The sequence below is a fragment of the Homo sapiens genome, chromosome 6 (assembly GCF_000001405.40).
Source record: "Homo sapiens chromosome 6, GRCh38.p14 Primary Assembly".
Taxonomy (NCBI): Eukaryota; Metazoa; Chordata; class Mammalia; order Primates; family Hominidae; genus Homo; species Homo sapiens.
In genome coordinates this window covers 15649396-15667940 of record NC_000006.12, presented here as the reverse complement: position 1 = coordinate 15667940, position 18545 = coordinate 15649396, and the positions used below count along the sequence as shown (strand labels likewise).

The 18545-nt window shown below is 41.0% G+C and overlaps 1 protein-coding gene across 8 annotated transcripts in view, besides 2 other annotated features; it reads left to right on the top strand.

Annotated features, from left to right (window-relative positions):
* Positions 4883 to 18545, top strand: part of DTNBP1 (dystrobrevin binding protein 1) — a 140252-nt gene continuing 126589 nt past the window's right edge. The window contains exons 1-4 of one of the 8 annotated variants that reach the window (NR_036448.3): positions 4913 to 5127; positions 7420 to 7558; positions 15801 to 15854; positions 16578 to 16628. Coding sequence is in view for 6 of the 8 variants with exons in the window: in NM_183040.2 (NP_898861.1) it covers positions 5072 to 5127; positions 15801 to 15854; positions 16578 to 16628 (161 nt within the window). In the remaining 2 variants the exon portion in view is untranslated. Of the gene's footprint in view, positions 5128 to 7419; positions 7559 to 15800; positions 15855 to 16532; positions 16629 to 18545 lie in introns of those variants that run through there. The other 7 variants (NM_183040.2, NM_032122.5, NM_001271667.2 and 4 more) reach the window with 7 other exon arrangements.
* Positions 4917 to 5426: a silencer, noted in NCBI's record as "silent region_16953". NCBI's record gives its function as "represses an Ori minimal core promoter by ATAC-STARR-seq in GM12878 lymphoblastoid cells {active_cell/tissue: GM12878}" and the evidence as "EXISTENCE:reporter gene assay evidence [ECO:0000049][PMID:35858748]".
* Positions 5657 to 5706: an enhancer, noted in NCBI's record as "active region_24087". NCBI's record gives its function as "activates an Ori minimal core promoter by ATAC-STARR-seq in GM12878 lymphoblastoid cells {active_cell/tissue: GM12878}" and the evidence as "EXISTENCE:reporter gene assay evidence [ECO:0000049][PMID:35858748]".

The window sequence follows — 18545 nt, the reverse complement described above, 5'->3', positions numbered from 1 at the left end:
CACACTGTAAATATCTTTACAAATCTAAGTCAGGTTCCTGCAAAGCAATTAACCATAGTCCCTTTCCAATTACTCTAAAAGAGCTCTGCCAATGAAATGGTATGAACTTTTCTGGGTTCTACAGCCCCTTCTTTTTTTTCCTGCTTTTTTTTTATTATTATTATACTTTAAGTTTTAGGGTACATGTGCCAAGTTGGTGTGCTGCACCCATTAACTCGTCATTTAACATTAGGTATATCTCCTAATGCTATCCCTCCCGCCTCCCTCCACCCCACAACAGGCCCCAGTGTATGATGTTCCCCTTCCTGTGTCCATGTGTTCTCACTGTTCAATTCCCACCAATGAGTGAGAACATGCGGTGTTTGGTTTTTTGTCCTTGCGATAGTTTGCCGAGAATAATGGTTTCCAGCTTCATCCATGTCCCTACAAAGGACATGAACTCATCATTTTTTTCACTGCATAGTATTCCATGGTGTATATGTGCCACGTTTTCTTAATCCAGTCTATCATTGTTGGACATTTGGGTTGGTTCCAAGTCTTTGCTATTGCGAATAGTGCCACAATAAACATATGTGTTCATGTGTCTTTATAGCAGCATGATTTACAGTCCTTTGGGTATATACCCAGTAATGGGATGGCTGGGTCAAATGGTATTTCTAGTTCTAGATCCCTGAGGAATCGCCACACTGACTTCCACAATGGTTGAACTAGTTTACAGTCCCACCAACAGTGTAAAAGTGTTCCTATTTCTCCACATTCTCTCCAGCACCTGTTGTTTCCTGACTTTTTAGTGATCGCCATTCTAACTGGTGTGAGATGGTATCTCATTGTGGTTTTGATTTGCATTTCTCTGATGGTCAGCGATGATGAGCATTTTTTCATGTGTCTTTTGGCTGCATAAATGTCTTCTTTTGAGAAGTGTCTGTTCACATCCTTTGCCCACTTGTTGATGGGGTTGTTTTTTTCTTGTAAATTTGTTTGAGTTCATTGTAGATTCTGGATATTAGCCCTTTGTCCGATGAGTAGATTGCAAAAATTTTCTCCCATTCTGTAGGTTGCCTGTTCGCTCTGATGGTGGTTTCTTTCGTACCACCCCTTCTTTAATAGCATCTTTCTCTTTGGTTCTAACTCCGCCAAATCCTCATTTATCACTTTGTCTCCAATAAGAATCTGCTGAGACAGGAAACCCCCTTTCATCAACGAGTAGGGCTTCTCAAATGTTAACATGAATAAAAATCACCCGGGGGGTCTTAATAAAACTCAGATTCTGATTCAGTAGGGCTGGCTGGGGCCTACGATTCTACCTTTGCAGGAAGCTCCCAGATGATGCGGCTGCTGCTGGTCAGGGAAGCACTATTTCAGGAAACTTCTTAGCAGCTTTGGTGCTCACCCCAAACGTTGTATCACCAAAGCTTTTCCTGGGCGCAACTAATATGCTCTCAAAAAATCAACTCTCTGCTGGGCGCGGTGGCTCATGCCTGTAATCCCAGCATTTTGGGAGGCCAAGGCAGGCGGATCACTTGAGGTCAGGAGTTTGAGACCAGCCTGTCCAACATAGTGAAACCTTGTCTCTACTAAAAATACAAAAATTAGCTGGGCGTGGTGGCGGAAGCCTGTAATCCCAGCTACCCAGGAGGCTGAGGCAGGAGAATCACTTGAACCCAGGAGGTGGAGGCTACAGTGAGCCAAGATTGCACCACTGCACTCCAGCCTAGGTGACAGAGGGAGACTCCGTCTTAAAACAAAACAAACAAAAAAACCCCAAACAAACAACAATCAACTCTCAACCAATTCCTGAATTAAGATTAGGTCAATAGCTTCCATACTGATGTTGGTTCTCAAACTGTACTTAAAAGCTTTGTTTTTTTTTTCATTTTGCCAATCCATCTTCCTAGTTTCTGGCTGATTACTGTTACTTATGTAAACACGACATGTCACATGCTTCAACTCTTGGTCCTTAATCATTCCTCCTGAGCAACTCATGTACAACAGTAGTTATTTTCTAATTTTTTTAATATTTACTTCTTTAAATCATAAATTATCTTTTTATTAGCACTTTTAAAACTTTCACTGTTTTTTAATTTAATAGATATGATGGAATTAAGAATGTTCAGAAAGCACCTCAAATACAAACATGCCATAGACTAATAAACAGTGCATTGGTCAAGACAGAAATGATCAGGCACAACCAGTAAAGCTATTTTTTAGTGACAGGCAAGAGTCTTTTTTGAGTGGATTTGGTGCTTTGTTGGAATGTATGAAACTTAGTAAATTGAAAGCTTATGTGTAGAGTTTAATTGAATAAAAGAAAAAAATTTAATATTTCCCAGTACTTGTGGTTTTCAAATCTACTAGATACTAAGGGACCTGTCTGTAGATTTGATCATTTGATCACTTGCTTTGTTCCAGGCACTGTTTCTGAGAGGTAGAAGAAGGCTCAATAAACAGCACTCCTCTTTCTTACTTGTCTGAGCAAACTGAGAAATAAAACAATAGTGTCAGCATAAAGAGGCCAAAATATCACTTTTATATCTAGGAAGACTGATGGAACACATGGCTTATATTCATGGGCAAGCAGAACTTCTAGTACCCAGTCACAAAAAGCACTGGGTTGCCCTTCAAGCCTGTCTTTAGGCAGCAGAATGAATGCTCTTTGTTGGAAGTGTTCACTCAACAAAAAGAAAAGAAGATGAGACCAAGCTCCTTACTTCTAGCTCACTAATCATCGTAGTCACCTCTTCCCCACCAGGAGAGGCTGGGTACTTCTTTATGTTAGCAGAAGAGCTCCCTTCCCATGGAAGAAAACATCAAGAGTGGGGAAGAGGTGGTCCCCCAGCTACAAGCTAAGTCCTTTATCTTATTTAACTCCTGCAACAAGACATTTACTGGGTGTCTGTTATGTGCCATTCACTGTTTTCATTGCTGGGGATGCAAAGCTTAATAAGACAGAGCAGTTTACATCTGGGCCTGTACTTGTGCTACTTACCTCACTGGCCTCATCCAATCCCAGCCCTAACAGATCCTGTGTATTTAAAATTTTGATATTTTGTTCATCACAGATTTTTTTTCATTAATTTTGAATTTTTTAAATATTGTATTAAAATATTACTTATCTTGATTACTGAGCTTTTTGGCTCCCGTAAATTTTGTACCTGAGGTGAATGCCTTATTTGTCGTGGTTTTAAAATATGTTTGTAAACAACTAAATTAATAAATAGCAAATAATTATTGAATAAATTTTCTAATGTGTACTAAGTTGAGAAACAGGCTACGTGATAGGAAGTGATTGGGTGTGTAACTTGAATGGTAAGTAAAACCTATCTAATGTGATGCTATTTAGGATGTGACCCTTATGTTATAAGGAGCCAGACAAGGGACAGTTTGGAGAAAAGTTTGTGAAAACACCACAGGTGGAAATAAACCTGGAATTTTCTAAGAACACACCAAAAAAAAAAAAAAAAAAAAGGCTATTATGTCTTAATTGTCAAGGACATGATAGGTGACTAGTAATCAATTTGGATACAGTGCTAGAAAACATTCAAATTTTAGGGCTTTTTAAGGGGGTAAGTAGTTTGAATTTTATTCCAAGTGCCCAGGAGGCAATTGGAAGATTTTAAGCAGGGGAGCAACGTGATCCGATTGATCTTTTAAATAACTCTTTCTGGCTGCTGTGTCAAGGATGGATTATAGGGGTGTGTATGGCAAAAGAGTAGAATCTGGAAGAACTGTCTGTGTTCCCATTGAAAGAGGATGGTGCCTTCGACCAGGATAAATATAGTGAAGATATAGAAAGAGAAGGAGGTTCCAGAAATACTTCAGGAGTAGAGTTGATTGGATTTGATGGGTTAATATGGGGAATGAGGAAAAGAGGGGAACCAGAGGTGATTTCAAGTGTCTTACCTTGAGCAAATTGGTGGATGGTGGTGTCATTTACTGAAACGGAAAATACAGGATGAGCAGATTAAAGGTGAACATGCAATGAATGAAATTTTCAATTTTGTGTATGTTGGTCTGAGATGCCTTTTGGATACATGTTGTATACATGCTTACATGAGTAAGCAACTGGTATGAATTGACGGAGAGGGAGGAAGGACAGGGCAGAAGATAGAGCTGTGGGAGTCATCGGTTCCTTGACAGAATTTACAGCGTGGTAATGGATAGACTCTATGCTATCCATCTATGGAACAACACATCTGGAGAAGAGAGAAGAGCTGGGGAGGCTGGACTGTAGCCTTGGGAGTGGCTATTAAAATAGGAGAAGGGGTGGAGCGGAAGGGAGAGAGGAACTATGGAGTGCTTAGCAAGAGAAGAAAGTGTTTTAAGGATGGGGATGATAAACTGCATTGAAAGCCACTGAGAGGTGGAGAAAAAATCAGGGCAGAGAAGTAATAAAAGGCATCAGCAACATGGAAGTCACTGGTGACTCGCGAAAGGCGATCACCTTTGGTGTGTAGGGCACAAAAGCCTGGGGGGGTAAAGAGAGAGTGGAAAGTAAGAATGTCGAGACAGTCGACTATTATTGCCATTTTATGAATGAAGAAACCGAGGCTCAATATTTGACTGTCTCATTCAAGGTGAAAGCCAGTGGGGTCAGATCCTGGACCTAGAATCCATGCAATGATTTGTGCACATCGCCTATTGAAGAGAGAGATCCAATTCTCTTCCAAAACGTAAAAGCCAACACTTCCCTCAAAGGAGGCTTCGAGTTAAATCATCCTTTCACGATGCCGCTTCCATTTTAAAGAAAAAAAAAAAAAAACGAGAAGGCCTGGTGCGGGATAGGAATGAGCCGAGGAGCTACTGGCCCTCTCGGTCGGGGGAAGACCCGCCCCTTTTCCGCAGCCCGAGCCCGGCGCAGTCCACTGCGGCTGCGCGAGCCTGGCGCGCGCGGGGCGGGAACGCGGAAGGGGCTGGGGTTGCGGCGCGGCGGCGAGGACCAGACCGGGGGCGGGGCCGGTAGTGGGAGTGCGGGGCGCGCGGTGACAGCGCGGGGTTGGCGGCGTGGGACCCAGGGGGCGACAGAGGCAGCAGCAGCCCGAGGCCTGAGGAGAGGAGACCGGCGGCGGCGGCAATGCTGGAGACCCTTCGCGAGCGGCTGCTGAGCGTGCAGCAGGATTTCACCTCCGGGTGGGTATACGGTGGGCGACGAAAAGGGACCTGAGGGGGCCGGGCCGCCGCCTGGGATGCCCCTGCCTCGCTCCCTTCCCCGCGCCACGGTCCAGGGTCCGTCCTGTCCCGCACCTCCCCGCCCCGCCCCGCCGAGGAAAGTAACGAACTTCCCGGCGTCCTCGCGTCGGGCGGCGCAAAGTAACTTAGGTCCCTGCGGGCCGCCTGTGACGCGCACCCCCCAGGACCGGGAGGCGCTCGGCGGCGCAGCGGAGCGCCCGGGGGGGGTGTGGGACCCTGCGGTCCTTTCCCGGCAGCATCAGCTGGGCCCTGGAGGGAAGTCATGTGAGAAGCCAGCGCGCCTCACCGCTTCCGCCCCCGCGGCACAGTGGCCTGCGCCCCTCGGCCCAGCAGACACCTGCTCGTGCGCACCTGGAGCTGGGCCAGCCACCCTCCCCGAGTCGGATCGCACCGCGCAGCAGCCTGCACCCTCCGGCCACAGCCTTCCGCGCCGCGTCTCGGCTTTCACGCCCGGCTCGCCGGCCTAACCCTTGGCAAGGCTGGCCGCCCCTCCCCGTTGCGTCCTTTCTCTACCTTTGCCGTGAGCTCAGCGCCTCGGCGAAGGAACTCCTAAGCAGGAGAAGCGACAGAACTTTAGGAATGCTTTTAATACCCAGCGGTTCCCAAACTTTGCTTAGAATCACCTGGGAACCTTTCAGAGTTCTGATGCCCAGGTCTCACCCCCTACCTGTTGACCAGAGTGCCTGGAGACGGCGTTTTAAAGATCCCCAGGGGATTCCAGTGGGCACCAACGCCTGGGAACCACAGGCCGAGACTCTGGCGCCAGATTGCCTAGGCATCCTGGCTCGACCACTAAATCAAACGTAGTTACTCAGCTGCCTTGCCTCAATGTACTGTTTCCGCTACCGTAAAATGGGGATAATGATGGTACTTAAAAGGTTATTACAAGGATTAATGAATTAATGTGTAAAACACGAAGCAAGCATCATGTCAGTATTGTTACTTAGTGCTTAATTTTAATTTTTTCATTCCTTTAAAGTGAAAAAGATCTGTCTTTGAAAAGGATCTTTCAACTTTAGCTTACAAATCCTGTTGGAGGATGCACTGAATGTGAGAACATTTCCACTCATACTGTTTTAAATTTCTCCCCCCCACCCCCCTTTTTTTTGAGATGGAGTCTTGCTCTGTCACCCAGACTGGAGTGCAGTGGCGTGATCTCGGCTCACTGCAACCGCCGCCTCCCGGATTCAAGCGATTCTCCTGGCTCCACCTCCTGAGTAGCTGGGACTAGAGGCGCCCGGCTTATTTTTGTATTTTTTAGTAGAGACGGGTTTCACCATATTGGCCAGGCTGGTCTCGAACTCCTGACCTTGTGATCCTCCCGCCTTGGCCTCCCAAAGTGCTGGGATTACAGGCGTGTGCCACCGTTCCCGGCCCACCCTCCCCCCCTTTTTTTTAAAGTGACAAGTTCTCGCTCTGTTGCCCAGGCTGGAGCGCAGTGGCGCTATTATAGCTCGCTGCAGCCTCCAACTCCTGGGTACAAGAGATCCTCCCTCCTAGGCTTCCTGAAGTGGTGGGATTATGGGTATTAGTCACTGCGCCCAGCCTCGTTTTAAATTTCTAATGAGAAAGATGTTAGCCAAAATTTTATCTTAATGGACAAAAATGTTAATACTATTTGCACATTGGGCGTTGAATAACAAACTGTCAAACGCTTGAGCACTTACCATGCGTCAATCATTTTTGTTAGTTTGGTGTTTAGAAAGTTATGGACGCTCGGAGTCATTCACTGATGGGTGTGCTTGCGTGCTTGCATTTTGTTCTCCCTATTTAGTAAAAGTACCTTCTTTTCAGAGCGTAAATTATTGTATTGAAAACTTTTTGGTGTGATGCTGAAATGGCCCATTTGTAGCATGAGAGTGGCCATTATTCTCCTGTTAGTACTTCATGGAATTCCTTGATGGCACAAGAGCCCATCTTGTAGTTACTATAACTCTAGGTCACATGGTTGCCTCAGAAGCATTCATGCTCCTGACCTTTGTAAGAAGGCATTTTACCCCGGAATGTAGATTCTGGAGTGGGCTCTGGACTGCTGGGGCACAAACCATCCTGGGAGATCAGGGTAACCCTAAACGTTTAGAGTTAGTTAAGGAGAGACATGCCAAAGGGATCTAGTTAGAACCCCTTGGAAACTGACTTGACTTCTTAAAGATGCCGTAGTCTGGGGCCATTTTGGAGCTAGACATCCTGAGAGGGCTTCATTAGGTCTTTTGTTGGCTTTCTCCTGTACAGGTCACTTTCAGCTGACAAACCACTGGACTGTCAGTGTGTGCCATTAGCCTGTCACCTGGTGGAGAAACAACTCATCTCCAAGTGATGTCAGTCTCCCAGTAGACCCGGACCTCTAGTGCCTGATGTTCACTTTCTTCAGGTCCTCAATTTCCTACATTTAAGCTGTTCGGTTAAACTTTTCCATATTCAGCTTGAGATCAACCTCCTTTACATAACTGATTATTTTTGCCTTGAGGAGAAAAGATGACGCTAAACACAGCACACATGTGTTTATTATATGTTGGTAATGTGGAATTCAAAGATGAAAGAGACGTGAGCTGCATCACTAAAAAAGAAACATATTACATAAATGCAATGCTGATATCATAGATAATAAAATTAACACTAATTTTTTGATATTATCAATTATGCAGTCCATAATCAGATTTGTTTTGTGCTTAGAAATGACTTTTTACAGTTGGTTTGTTCAAATCCAGATCAGATAAGTTTCACACATTAAATCTGTTTAAAAACCAATTTTTAAAACAGACGACTGTTAAAGGGCCACATGGGGAAGCTTTATGGAATCTTCCAACAATTTTGTTGTCCCAGCTACTTGGGAGGCTGAGGCAGGAGGATCCCTTGAGCCCAGGAGTTCAAGACTGGGCAACACAAAGAAACCCCATCTTTTGGCTGGGTGCGGTGGCTCACACCTGTAATCCCAGCACTTTGGGAGCCCGAAGCAGGCGGATCATGAGGTCAGGAGTTCAAGACCAGCTTGGCCAACGTGGTGAAACCCCGTCTCCACTAAAAAATACAAAAATTAGCTGGCCATGGTGGCGTGCGTCTGTAATTCCAGCTACTTGGAAGGCTGAGGCAGAAGAATCTCTTGAATCCAGGAGGTGGAGGTTGCAGTGAGCCGAGATCACACCACTGCACTCCAGACTGGGTGACAGAGGGAGACTCCGTCTCAAAAAAAAAAAAAAAGAAAGAAACCCCATCTCTTAAAAAAGAAAGAAAAAATGAAAAAACATGGCCCTGGCCACCCAGAGCTATCACATTGGACCTGGCGTTTCTGTAGAACACTTGGTGGCAGAGCAATTGTGTGGAAGCCAGAGCAGCTGCCTTCTAAAATAATTGGAAACACCGGGTGTGCAGGCTGCCCCAGGGATGGAATGGAAGGCCTCAGGCATTTCTGGGCTCCTTCAGTGCAGCCAGTGCAGCTCCCGCTGTCGCCCAGAGCAGCATCCTCTCTTCGGAGCTTCTGTGATCATTTTCACTTTCTGAAAACTCATATGAAGGCCCTAACTCTAGATAAATTTACTTTTTTTCATTTTTAGTAAAATAGAACGATTCCTTATCAGTCTCAGAATGTCACTTTGGTGATGAAACCATGTCCAATAAGAATAAATTTCTACATTCCATTCAAACTTTGAAAAAGTGCAGCTTAAGACCATTGTTCTTTAAGGGCAGTGTAGAGATTACTGGTGGTTTGGGGGGAGCTCTAGGTTGTCCATGGACTTATGGCCTTTTTTGTAAATTTTTATGCGTAGTAACAATTATGTCAACCTTGAGAAAAACTAGTGATTACATCACATTCTTCCTGCCTTAATTGGGTGGTGGGCCAGCCTTAGGCCACAGACTGAAGAGGATTGGTTCTGAGCTTCACTCAAAGATCTTTTCCCCTCACCTAAAGTGAGTTGTAATTTGATTTAACTGAGTCAGAATTCTTGGAGCCTTTTGGAGAGTTCACATAAAATATCCATTTTTACAGAGATTGGCTTGAGCTCTGGGGAAGACTTTTGGACATACCAAAGTACATACTTCGAAGCCACTCTGGTCTTTGACTTTTACCTTTTGAGCTGTTACGACCAAAGGCCTCAGGATTGAGGTATTTAGGCATGCAAACCCTTCAGGGAACTGAAAATCAGATTTACTGACGGGTTTACAGCTGCCTGTCACAGGCTGGTGTTTCCTATTTGTGATGCACTGGGTTCCTGTGGTTGGGGATAAAAAAACCTGCTATTGTTGCAGCTAGAGGGTGTTTCCCCCTCAAAGCCCTCACTGCCCCTGCCGCCCACCTGCACCCCTGCCCAGTGTCCTCATTCTGTCTTCTTCCGTCCTTGTAGTATCTACCAAAACCTACACAAAGGGGGTTGGAGCCAGTCATCTAAATTACAATGTGGTCAAATGGTGAAGTGTTGCTTGAAATGTTGACTTTTCCGGGATTAATCATCATCTTAAAGAGAAAATAATCTCAGTATTCAACTTGATTTCATAAATATCTACAGAGTTCCTATTAAGTGCCAGTGCCAGACATTAGACTAGGCACTCAAAGTGTCCTTTTTCATAGAAGCTTAAAAAAGATTTGAGAGCCCATATGCTCAGGTTTGCCTAGTCTTTCCTAAACAATGTCTATATATTGGGCCAGATCCTGCAGGTACAAAGGTGTCTAAAACAGTCTCTGTCCACCAGATGCCCTAGACTGGTGCTGATATAAAGCAAAGCAGAATGAACAGAATGTTAAAGATACAAATAGTGTGGTATGTGAGTCCGAAGAAAGAGTCATTAGTTAGGATGCATTTACAGAAGGCTTCAAAGAGGAAGGGGTTTCTAAAACTAGGCCTTGAATAATGAGGAGAAATTGCGATAGATTTGGATAAGCACATTTCAGAGATGGAAGCAGTCCTGGGAGATGAAGCTGGAAAGGAAGTTTAGTGCCTAATAATAGAATATCTTCAATGCTTTGCTTAATTAATTTGTCAAATATTTATTGAGTGCTTACTATGTGGCAGGCACTATTTTAGGTACTGGGGATATAGCAGAGAACAAACCAGATAGCAAGTAAGATCCTTACTCTCGTTCTAGTAGCAGACTGTCTAGAATATCTAGACGGCCATAAGTTCTGTGGCTAAAAATCAGGCTAAGGAGAAGATGGCCTACCTGTATTTCTGGAAAAATATTTCTGTGTTTCTGGAAGAATAACTTGAGAGGCTGTGTGATAGGAAGATAGGGGATGGGGTAGAGGGAGATTATTTAGGAGGCTGTAATGAAGGTCCAGATGAGAGAAGATAAGGCAGTGCTGATAGAAGTTTAAAGGAGGGAATAGATGTGTTAGGCACTGGTCAGATTAGACAGCAGTGGGAGATGAAAAAGGTGCAGAAATTGAGAATGTGAATTTGGAAGTATCTTAGATAAATGGTGTCATATACCAGCATTAAAGAATTTAACAATAGGTTTGAGAGAGAAGGAACAGTTAACAGTGAATTTGTGATGAGCTAGCTGCTTGACAGCTGAGAAGCAATTGGAAATTTCTCTTGCGCTCAGGTGAGAAGTGAGAACTTGAAGCCATGTATTTGGGACTTAGGATAAAGGCATTAGGATGTAGATAGTCTAAATTCATCTTTCTTTCCTGAGTCTGTGCAGCTTTTGTGTGAATTTCTTAGGCTTTGTACCTTAGGCCATTTGCACTTTTAAGTGTGATTGAGGCTTTGGCTTTTCCCTGATCTCGCTTAAGAGAGAAAAAAAATGATGAACACTGATGTGAAAATGTAATAGATTGGATGTGCCTTATGACAAAATATGCTAATTCATACATTTCTGTGGTGCTTTAAAGCAATCGTCCTCACCTTTCCTAATAGCCAATGATGTAGACAGTTGGAAATTGAGTTACAAGTAAATGAAACGTCATGCAGGTTCCGCACGCTGTTGAATCACCGGCAGATCTCAGCAGTCATTGTAGTACTCAATGCATCATTCTGTTTATCTACATCTTTTTCTTTTCTTTTTTTCTCTGAGACAGGGTCTCACTCTGTCACCCAGGCTGCAGTGCTGTGGTATGCTCATGGCTCACTGCAGCCTCAACCTCCTGGGTTCAAGCAATCCACCCACCTCAGCCTTCCAAGTAGCTGGGACTACAGGCATACACCACCACGCCTGGCTAATTTGTGTATATTTGGAAGACAGGGTTTCGCCATGTTGCCCAGGCTTATTTACATCCTTTTACACTTTTTGTCTAAGCAGTTTTGTGAGTCACCCCCCTTTTTCAGTAAGAAGCCCCCATTTTAGTATTTTCTACAAAGCTCAAAGACATAAATATGCTGGTGTCAAATTAAGGTGAAGTCGTTGGAGCTATCTAAAAATAAAATTATTGAACTTTATGACGAATTTGAGGTTTAGTGCTTTGAACTTGAAAGTTGTCATTAGTAGAAAATAGTTGTCAGATGGCTCACTTAGTCTATATATTAATATGCTCACACAGCACTTATGTGTTCATGGGGTGTATGGTACTTGGGAGAAGACCAAGAATAGGGCTGGGCAAGCCTTTTGTAGGCACATTGGGAACCTCTGCTTTATTTCACCTTAGCCCAGTAATGTAGTACATTGGTTTCTCGGCTTTCTTGATGGGGATCACCTTTATTATAACTTTCATTTGAAATTAGCTCTGTAGTTTCCAGAATGCCATTAAGGTCATATTTGGAATTTTATTCAATTCTCATGGCAAATCTTTATGGTTGAGTATAATACTACCATTTTACATTTGAGGAAACTGGAATATTCCCCCTAGGTCAGTATTTCCTTCACAGCATGTCATGATATTGTAGGACATTAAACAGACGTTATAAGTGGGTTGTTTCCAGGACAGAATAAGTTCTCCAGAGAAACTGGAGTTATCCTAAAATAAAAATAGTGGGCTAATTTCAGGTGAATTCTGGGTTTTGAGGATGTTATTTTAGAAAATACCTTTTTGGCTTTTTGTTACTTTCTTAAGTATATCTGATCTTTTATATTTTTCATCTTAAGAATAATAGTTGGAAACAATCAAGAAAGTTTAGCAGGCAAAAAGATGACTATTTTCAACTTTCCTATGGCTACTTTGTTTTTTTACTTTTTTTTTTTTTTAACTTCGTTTTACTTTCCTATAGCTACTTTGTTTTTTACTTTGTTTTTATTTTTTAGCAGGGAAAAAGATGACTATTTCCAACTTTCCTATAGCTACTTTGTTTTCTCCAACAGTTTCTTTTCTGCATTTTGGCACATTGGCCATTTATTTGGAGAAGAAGTGGTGAGAAAAGATGAATACCTAAAAGATTGTTTTTGTTATTAAAAATGTTTTTTGGCTGGATATGGTGGTTCATGCTTCTAATCCCAGCACTTGGGGAGGCTGAGGTGGGAGGATAGCTTGAGCCCATGAGTTCAAGACCAGCCTGGGCAACATAGGGAGACCCCTGTCTCTACAAAGGGTTTTTAAAAACTAGCTGGGTGTGCTGGTGTGAGCCTGTAGTCCCAGCTACTTGAGAGGCTAAGGTGGGAGGATCGCTTAAGGCCAGGAGCTTGAGGCTGCAGTGAGCTATGATTGCTCCATTGCACTCCAGTCTGGGTGACACAGCAAGACCCTGTCTCAAAAAAAAAATTGTATTTTACAAAGTCTCAAACACACACACAAATAGAATAACACAATGAACCACATATATCCATTGCTGAGATTCAACAGTTTTCAGATACTGCCACGTTTGCCTTGTCTCTCCCTTTATTTATAATGTAAATCTCAGACTTGCCTACTATACCTGTGATATGTCAGCTTGCATCACTAAAAAGGAAACACATTACATAAATGCAGTGCTGATGTCATAACTAATAAAATTAACACTAATTCTTTGATATTATCAATTATGCAGTCCATAATCAGACTTCTTTTGTTCTTAGAAACGACTTTTTACAGTTGGTTTGTTCAAATCCAGATCAGATAAGTTTCACACATTAAATTTGGTTAAAGACCAATTTTTAAAACAGATGACTGTTAAAGAGCCACATGGGGAATCTTTTGTTGAATCTTCCAACAATTTTACTTTCTGTTCCCTGTAACACTCCTTTTTTCCCTTTCATTTCAAACCGGTTTTTTCTTTTTGTCGGTGGCGGGGAGGAGATGGGGTAGGGGGGCAGAGAAGAGAATTCCAAACTTGGCATATTACAATTAAGAAAGTAAAAGTTTGTTTTAGAAATAAATAGTTGAAATACCAACTTAGAGATTTGCTGGATCATATAATTAGAGTAGTCCAAAGAGGATCTTAGGAATTCCCTTTCACACTCAGCTGTATAGAATTCTCCTGAATCACTAAAAATAATGCGAGAATCATTTTGAGTATGAGGCACTGCTGTATATAACTAGGATAATTTTGCCTGAGATGTTCCAACTAAGTATTTTGATCAAACTTTATAGTGGAAATGGTAGAGCATGGCCATAAAAATTGTTTTCCCTAGGTTTTGCTTAATCTTGGTTTAAACCAGATTTACTAGTTTCCAGGATAAACTGAGAAATTTATATTAGACTTTTACACAATTTCCTAGACTTATCTAGAGAGGTATACTAATTACTTTTGTATTAAAGAGATTGCTGAATCTTTTGAATATTGCAGAGGAATTGATCTTGTCAATATTTTATTTTTTGAAAAAGATCATAGAGTAATATGAAACTCTTTGTATGACATTGGCATTCTAATTTGGTTTTAAAAAAATGCAGTTTATCAGAAGTCCCCATATGGTGCTTAATCAGACGTTATAGACAGAAAAGATGGAATCCTGTTTCAGAACCAGCATGCATAGTTGTGCAGATTGTATACTGTACCATGCATTAGTTGAGGCATTCATGCAAGAGTCAACTTGTGTATTAGGACAGTTTCTGGCTGATGGCAGTAAAGTGTCTGGAGGAAGGAGCAGCTATTTCTGTTTTTACAAAGACTTTGTAGGGGCTAGCAGTAGTACTGTGGCCTATATTTTCAGTTTCTATTTACAAATGAGTACTTGTTGAAGTGATTGAGAAGAATGTGTACATGATATCTCATTTTATGTGATATTACTGCATACTGTAGCACTCACTTATTGGCAACCTCAGTTATCTGTAACAGAGTCCACAGCCAAAATAAAGTAAAACTGGGCCAGTGAAGTGAAAATAAATTGTACAGTTTATGAACATCATATTTTACATTAAAAGAGTCTGTTAATTCTATATATGCAGCTCTAGCCCATTTATCTGTTTTCCAGTGCAATAATTTAAAAGCAGCAAGTAGAGGGGAGGAGACTGCTAGAATTAAATAGCTGGCAGAAGCAGTGAGTGAGAGCTGACATCCAGGTGACCAATGGTAGAGAAAGAAAATTTAGGAAAGGTAGACATAAGAGCCCAAACAAACACAAAACTACCATAGATTGGTTTCAGGTTAATAGATGAAGATGCATTTCTAGCTCAGAAGTATCAGGGGAGAGTACTGTTTTGCTGCAAAATGTAGTCAATGATATTCTTAATACTGATCCTGAGTCATCACAAAATGTTAAATGAGATATACAAAATCCTCTTTAATGAAAGAAGTTTGTAATATATTTTAAAAAGCTTTTTCTCAACTAAAATTTCAAATACTGTGGATGCTTAAAGAGATTTGAAGGCCTGGGTAGCATCTACTTAATGAAGTGTGCTGCTTAGATATCTTTGTTACCTATCGATTTCTCCTATGTGGAACATTACTTTTTCTAAAGATGCCAGATAAATTATGTTTTTGTGGTCTGATCACATTTAGGAATCTTGGTTTCTAAAAAAGGGGCTTGGGGTAAGTAAGAATATGAAAATAAGGCCTGGCGTGGTAGCACACACCTATAATCCCAGCTCTATGGGGAGGCTGAGGTGGGAAGATCACTTGAGGCCAGGAGATAGAGACCAGACTGGGCAACATAGTGAGACCAAAATAAAAGTGAAACAAATAGCTGGGCATGGTGGCACATACCTGTCATCCTTGTTACCCAGGAGGCTGAGGTGGGAAGATTGCTTGAGCCCAAGAGTTTGAGGTTACAGTAAGCTACAATCGCACCACTATACTCTAGCCTGGGCAACAGAGTGAGACCATCTCTTAAAAAAAAATTTGCTACAGATTTTCCGTTTGTAGTATCTAACATATAGTAAACACTCAAATATTTGTTGTCTTTTGAGGTACTTAATTCTTGCTTAAAAAAAAAAAAGTAGCTTATCTGACCTAAAATTTTAACATGTGAAAATTTGTGGTTGAAAAATCTCTGGGCTGGGTGGGGTGGCTCATGCCTGTAATCCCAGCATTTTGGGAGGCTGAGGCAGGAGGATCATTTGAGGCATGGGGTATGAGACCAGCTTGGGCAACATAGCAAGACTCCGTCTCCACTAAATAAAAAAAGAAATTACCCAGGCGTGGTGGCGGGTGACTATAGTCCCAGCTACTCAGGAGGATGAGGTGGGAGGATCACTTGGGCCCAGGATTGAGGCTGCAGTGAGTAATGTACATGTCACTGCACTCCAGCCTGGACGACAGAGTGAGACCCTGTCTCAAAAAAATAATAATAATCTCTTGACTTGTAAAAATATTATATTTTATATTGAATTATAGGCTGAAGACTTTAAGTGACAAGTCAAGAGAAGCAAAAGTGAAAAGCAAACCCAGGTAAGCTTGTGCTAAGATTTTAACTTAACTGTGACTTAAATTTCATACAACTTTTGGTGTATTCACAATTGTGTAGTTATATTAATGAACCTTAGATTTGTTGAGTGCATCTGACTACAAAATAATTTATCGATTCTTTCTAAATTTTGTAACAGGAAAATTTTCTAATAAAATCGTGAAATGGTTGAAAAAATGGTGAAGTATAATTGTTTTACTCTGACAGTCAATGAGTATTATTTGATCACAATTAGTCATTTTTAATTTGTATAAGAGCAAAAGTAAAAGTCCTGAATTATTGAAAAGCAAATTAATGATGAAATACTACTTGGCAAATGAGCCTCTTCAGCTATGTTACCTGTTTTGTATGAAAACACCAGGATTGTGCTGTTTGTCCATTTTTTTAATAAAGTAAAGCATGTGACCAGATTTCATTTTCAACCTAGAAATGAACTGTGATCTTACATATTTGTTCTTATCCAACATTATATTAAATAATTTATTGTATGCTGAAGAGAATCTCTGGGGCAAAATGATGGTTGATAGTGTGTTACATACAGTACATTAACTCTGAAATAAAACACATTTCTCTAAAAGTTTAATAATTGTCATTAGTGATTTTAAAATATATTACAATTGACAATGTCAAAATTCTTGTATGTACCTTTTTTTTTTTTTCAGTTGGCTAAATCAAGAACAGTTTTAATAAGTGTTTCTTTTGGGCAGGACTGTTCCATTTTTGCCAAAGTACTCTGCTGGATTAGAATTACTTAGCAGGTAAGTGTTTCATTTGTAGAGGAAGGTTATACTTCTGACTTTTTTACTGACCAAAAATATCTTTTAATTTTGTAGGTTAAAAGCCTTAAAACAGCTAAATTTTATCTTAATGCAGTGATTGGAAATTATTTATGTATTATTTTCCTTGAGGGCTTTCACTTTTCACTCATTAGTACAAAGTCCATTCAAACTTTGAGCAGACAGATCACTATTGTATTTACAAGTCAATACTTTATGATAATATGTACGGCTTCTTTATTACAAGAAAATTGATTCTGGATTTGAGTCCCCAATAATTTTGTTTTTTTGCTTTGATTCTTATGTCATTTCTTTTCCAATCCATTCTTTTATTGACATGGAGTTTAATATTAAAATGTATGGTCTTTTTAGATATAACATCAAAAGCACAAACAACAAGATAAAAATTAGACACAATGGACTTGGTCAAAATCAAATACTTTTGTGTGTCAGAGAACACCATCAAGATAGTGGAGTGACAAAACATAGAATGTGAGAAAATATTTGCAGATCATATATATGAGGAACAACATGTATCCAGAATATATAAAGAACTTTTAAAACTTAACAATAAAAAGACAACCCCATGAAGAAATAGGCAAAAGAGTTGAATAGACATTTCTCAAAAGAAGATATGCAAACGACCGATAAGCACATGAAAAGATGCTCAACGTTGTCAGTCTTCAGGGAAACGCAAATCAAAACCACAATGAGGCCGGTCGCGGTGGCTCATACCTATAATCCCAGCACTTTGGGAGGCTGAGGCAGGCAGATCACTTGAGGTCAGGAGTTTGAGACCAGCCTGGCCAACTTGGTGAAACCCTGTCTCTTACTAAAAATACAAAAATTAGCTGGGCCTGGTGGTGCATGCCTGCAATCCTAGCTACTCGGGGCTGAGGCAGGAAAATCACTGGAGTGCAATGGTGCGATCTCGGCAGGGGTTGCGGTGAGCCGAGATCGTGCCAGTGCACTCCAGCCTGGGCAACAAGAGCGAAACTCCATCTCAAAAAATAAATAAATAAATACAGTATATGGTTAAAGTATGTCATTATACATATTTCTGTGCTTACTAATGTGCCATTTGACAGATGTGTGGTAAAGATGTATGTGGGAGAGGGTATGCTGCTTTTCCTTATCTGTATTTGTTATGACACAATCACTGATACCTACATTTTCCTTTCTCCTTTCTAGTTCTTCATTAGGTTTCTTTTTATGGTTGCTAAATCTAGAGATTTTTCTTCTCTGAAGTGAAAAGTGCTTAATATGATATTTGCTTCCTTTGTTTTGTTGTGTGAAGAACAGAAATGAACATGAAAGGAAGTGTAGTACAAATTAATCAGTAATGTATTGTTTACTATTTACATTTTATCTTTATTTTTTCTCTAGAAACTTAGTTGAAATAACTTCATTTTACTGAAAAATTTATGTTAGAGCTATCAACTTTTTGTGTGGTACATTTTTTGGGGATAGGGTTGCATTTTAGGAGTTAATATAGAAAATTTACATCCGTAAGACGGTGTCAATAATGTGTTTATACATCGCACTGAAACAGTCTTTTCCCATTGGAACTAAAATTGAATGTGAGAAAGACCATTTTAAATAGCAAATGTTTAAATCATATTTTTAATTTTAAAAATGTAATATACATAGCATAAAATGTATCTTAACCATTCTTAAGCTTAGTAGTGCTGAGTACGTTCACATGGTTGTGCATCCAATCCCAAAAACTCTTTTCATCTTGCAAAATGGAAACTCTGTACCTGTTAACCAACAACTCTCATTTCTACTCCCTCCTCTCCATCCCAGGCAACCATCATTCTATTTGCTTTCTCTGTGAATTTGACTATTCTAGGAACATCATATAAGTGCAATTATAAAGTACTTTTGTGTGTGACCGGC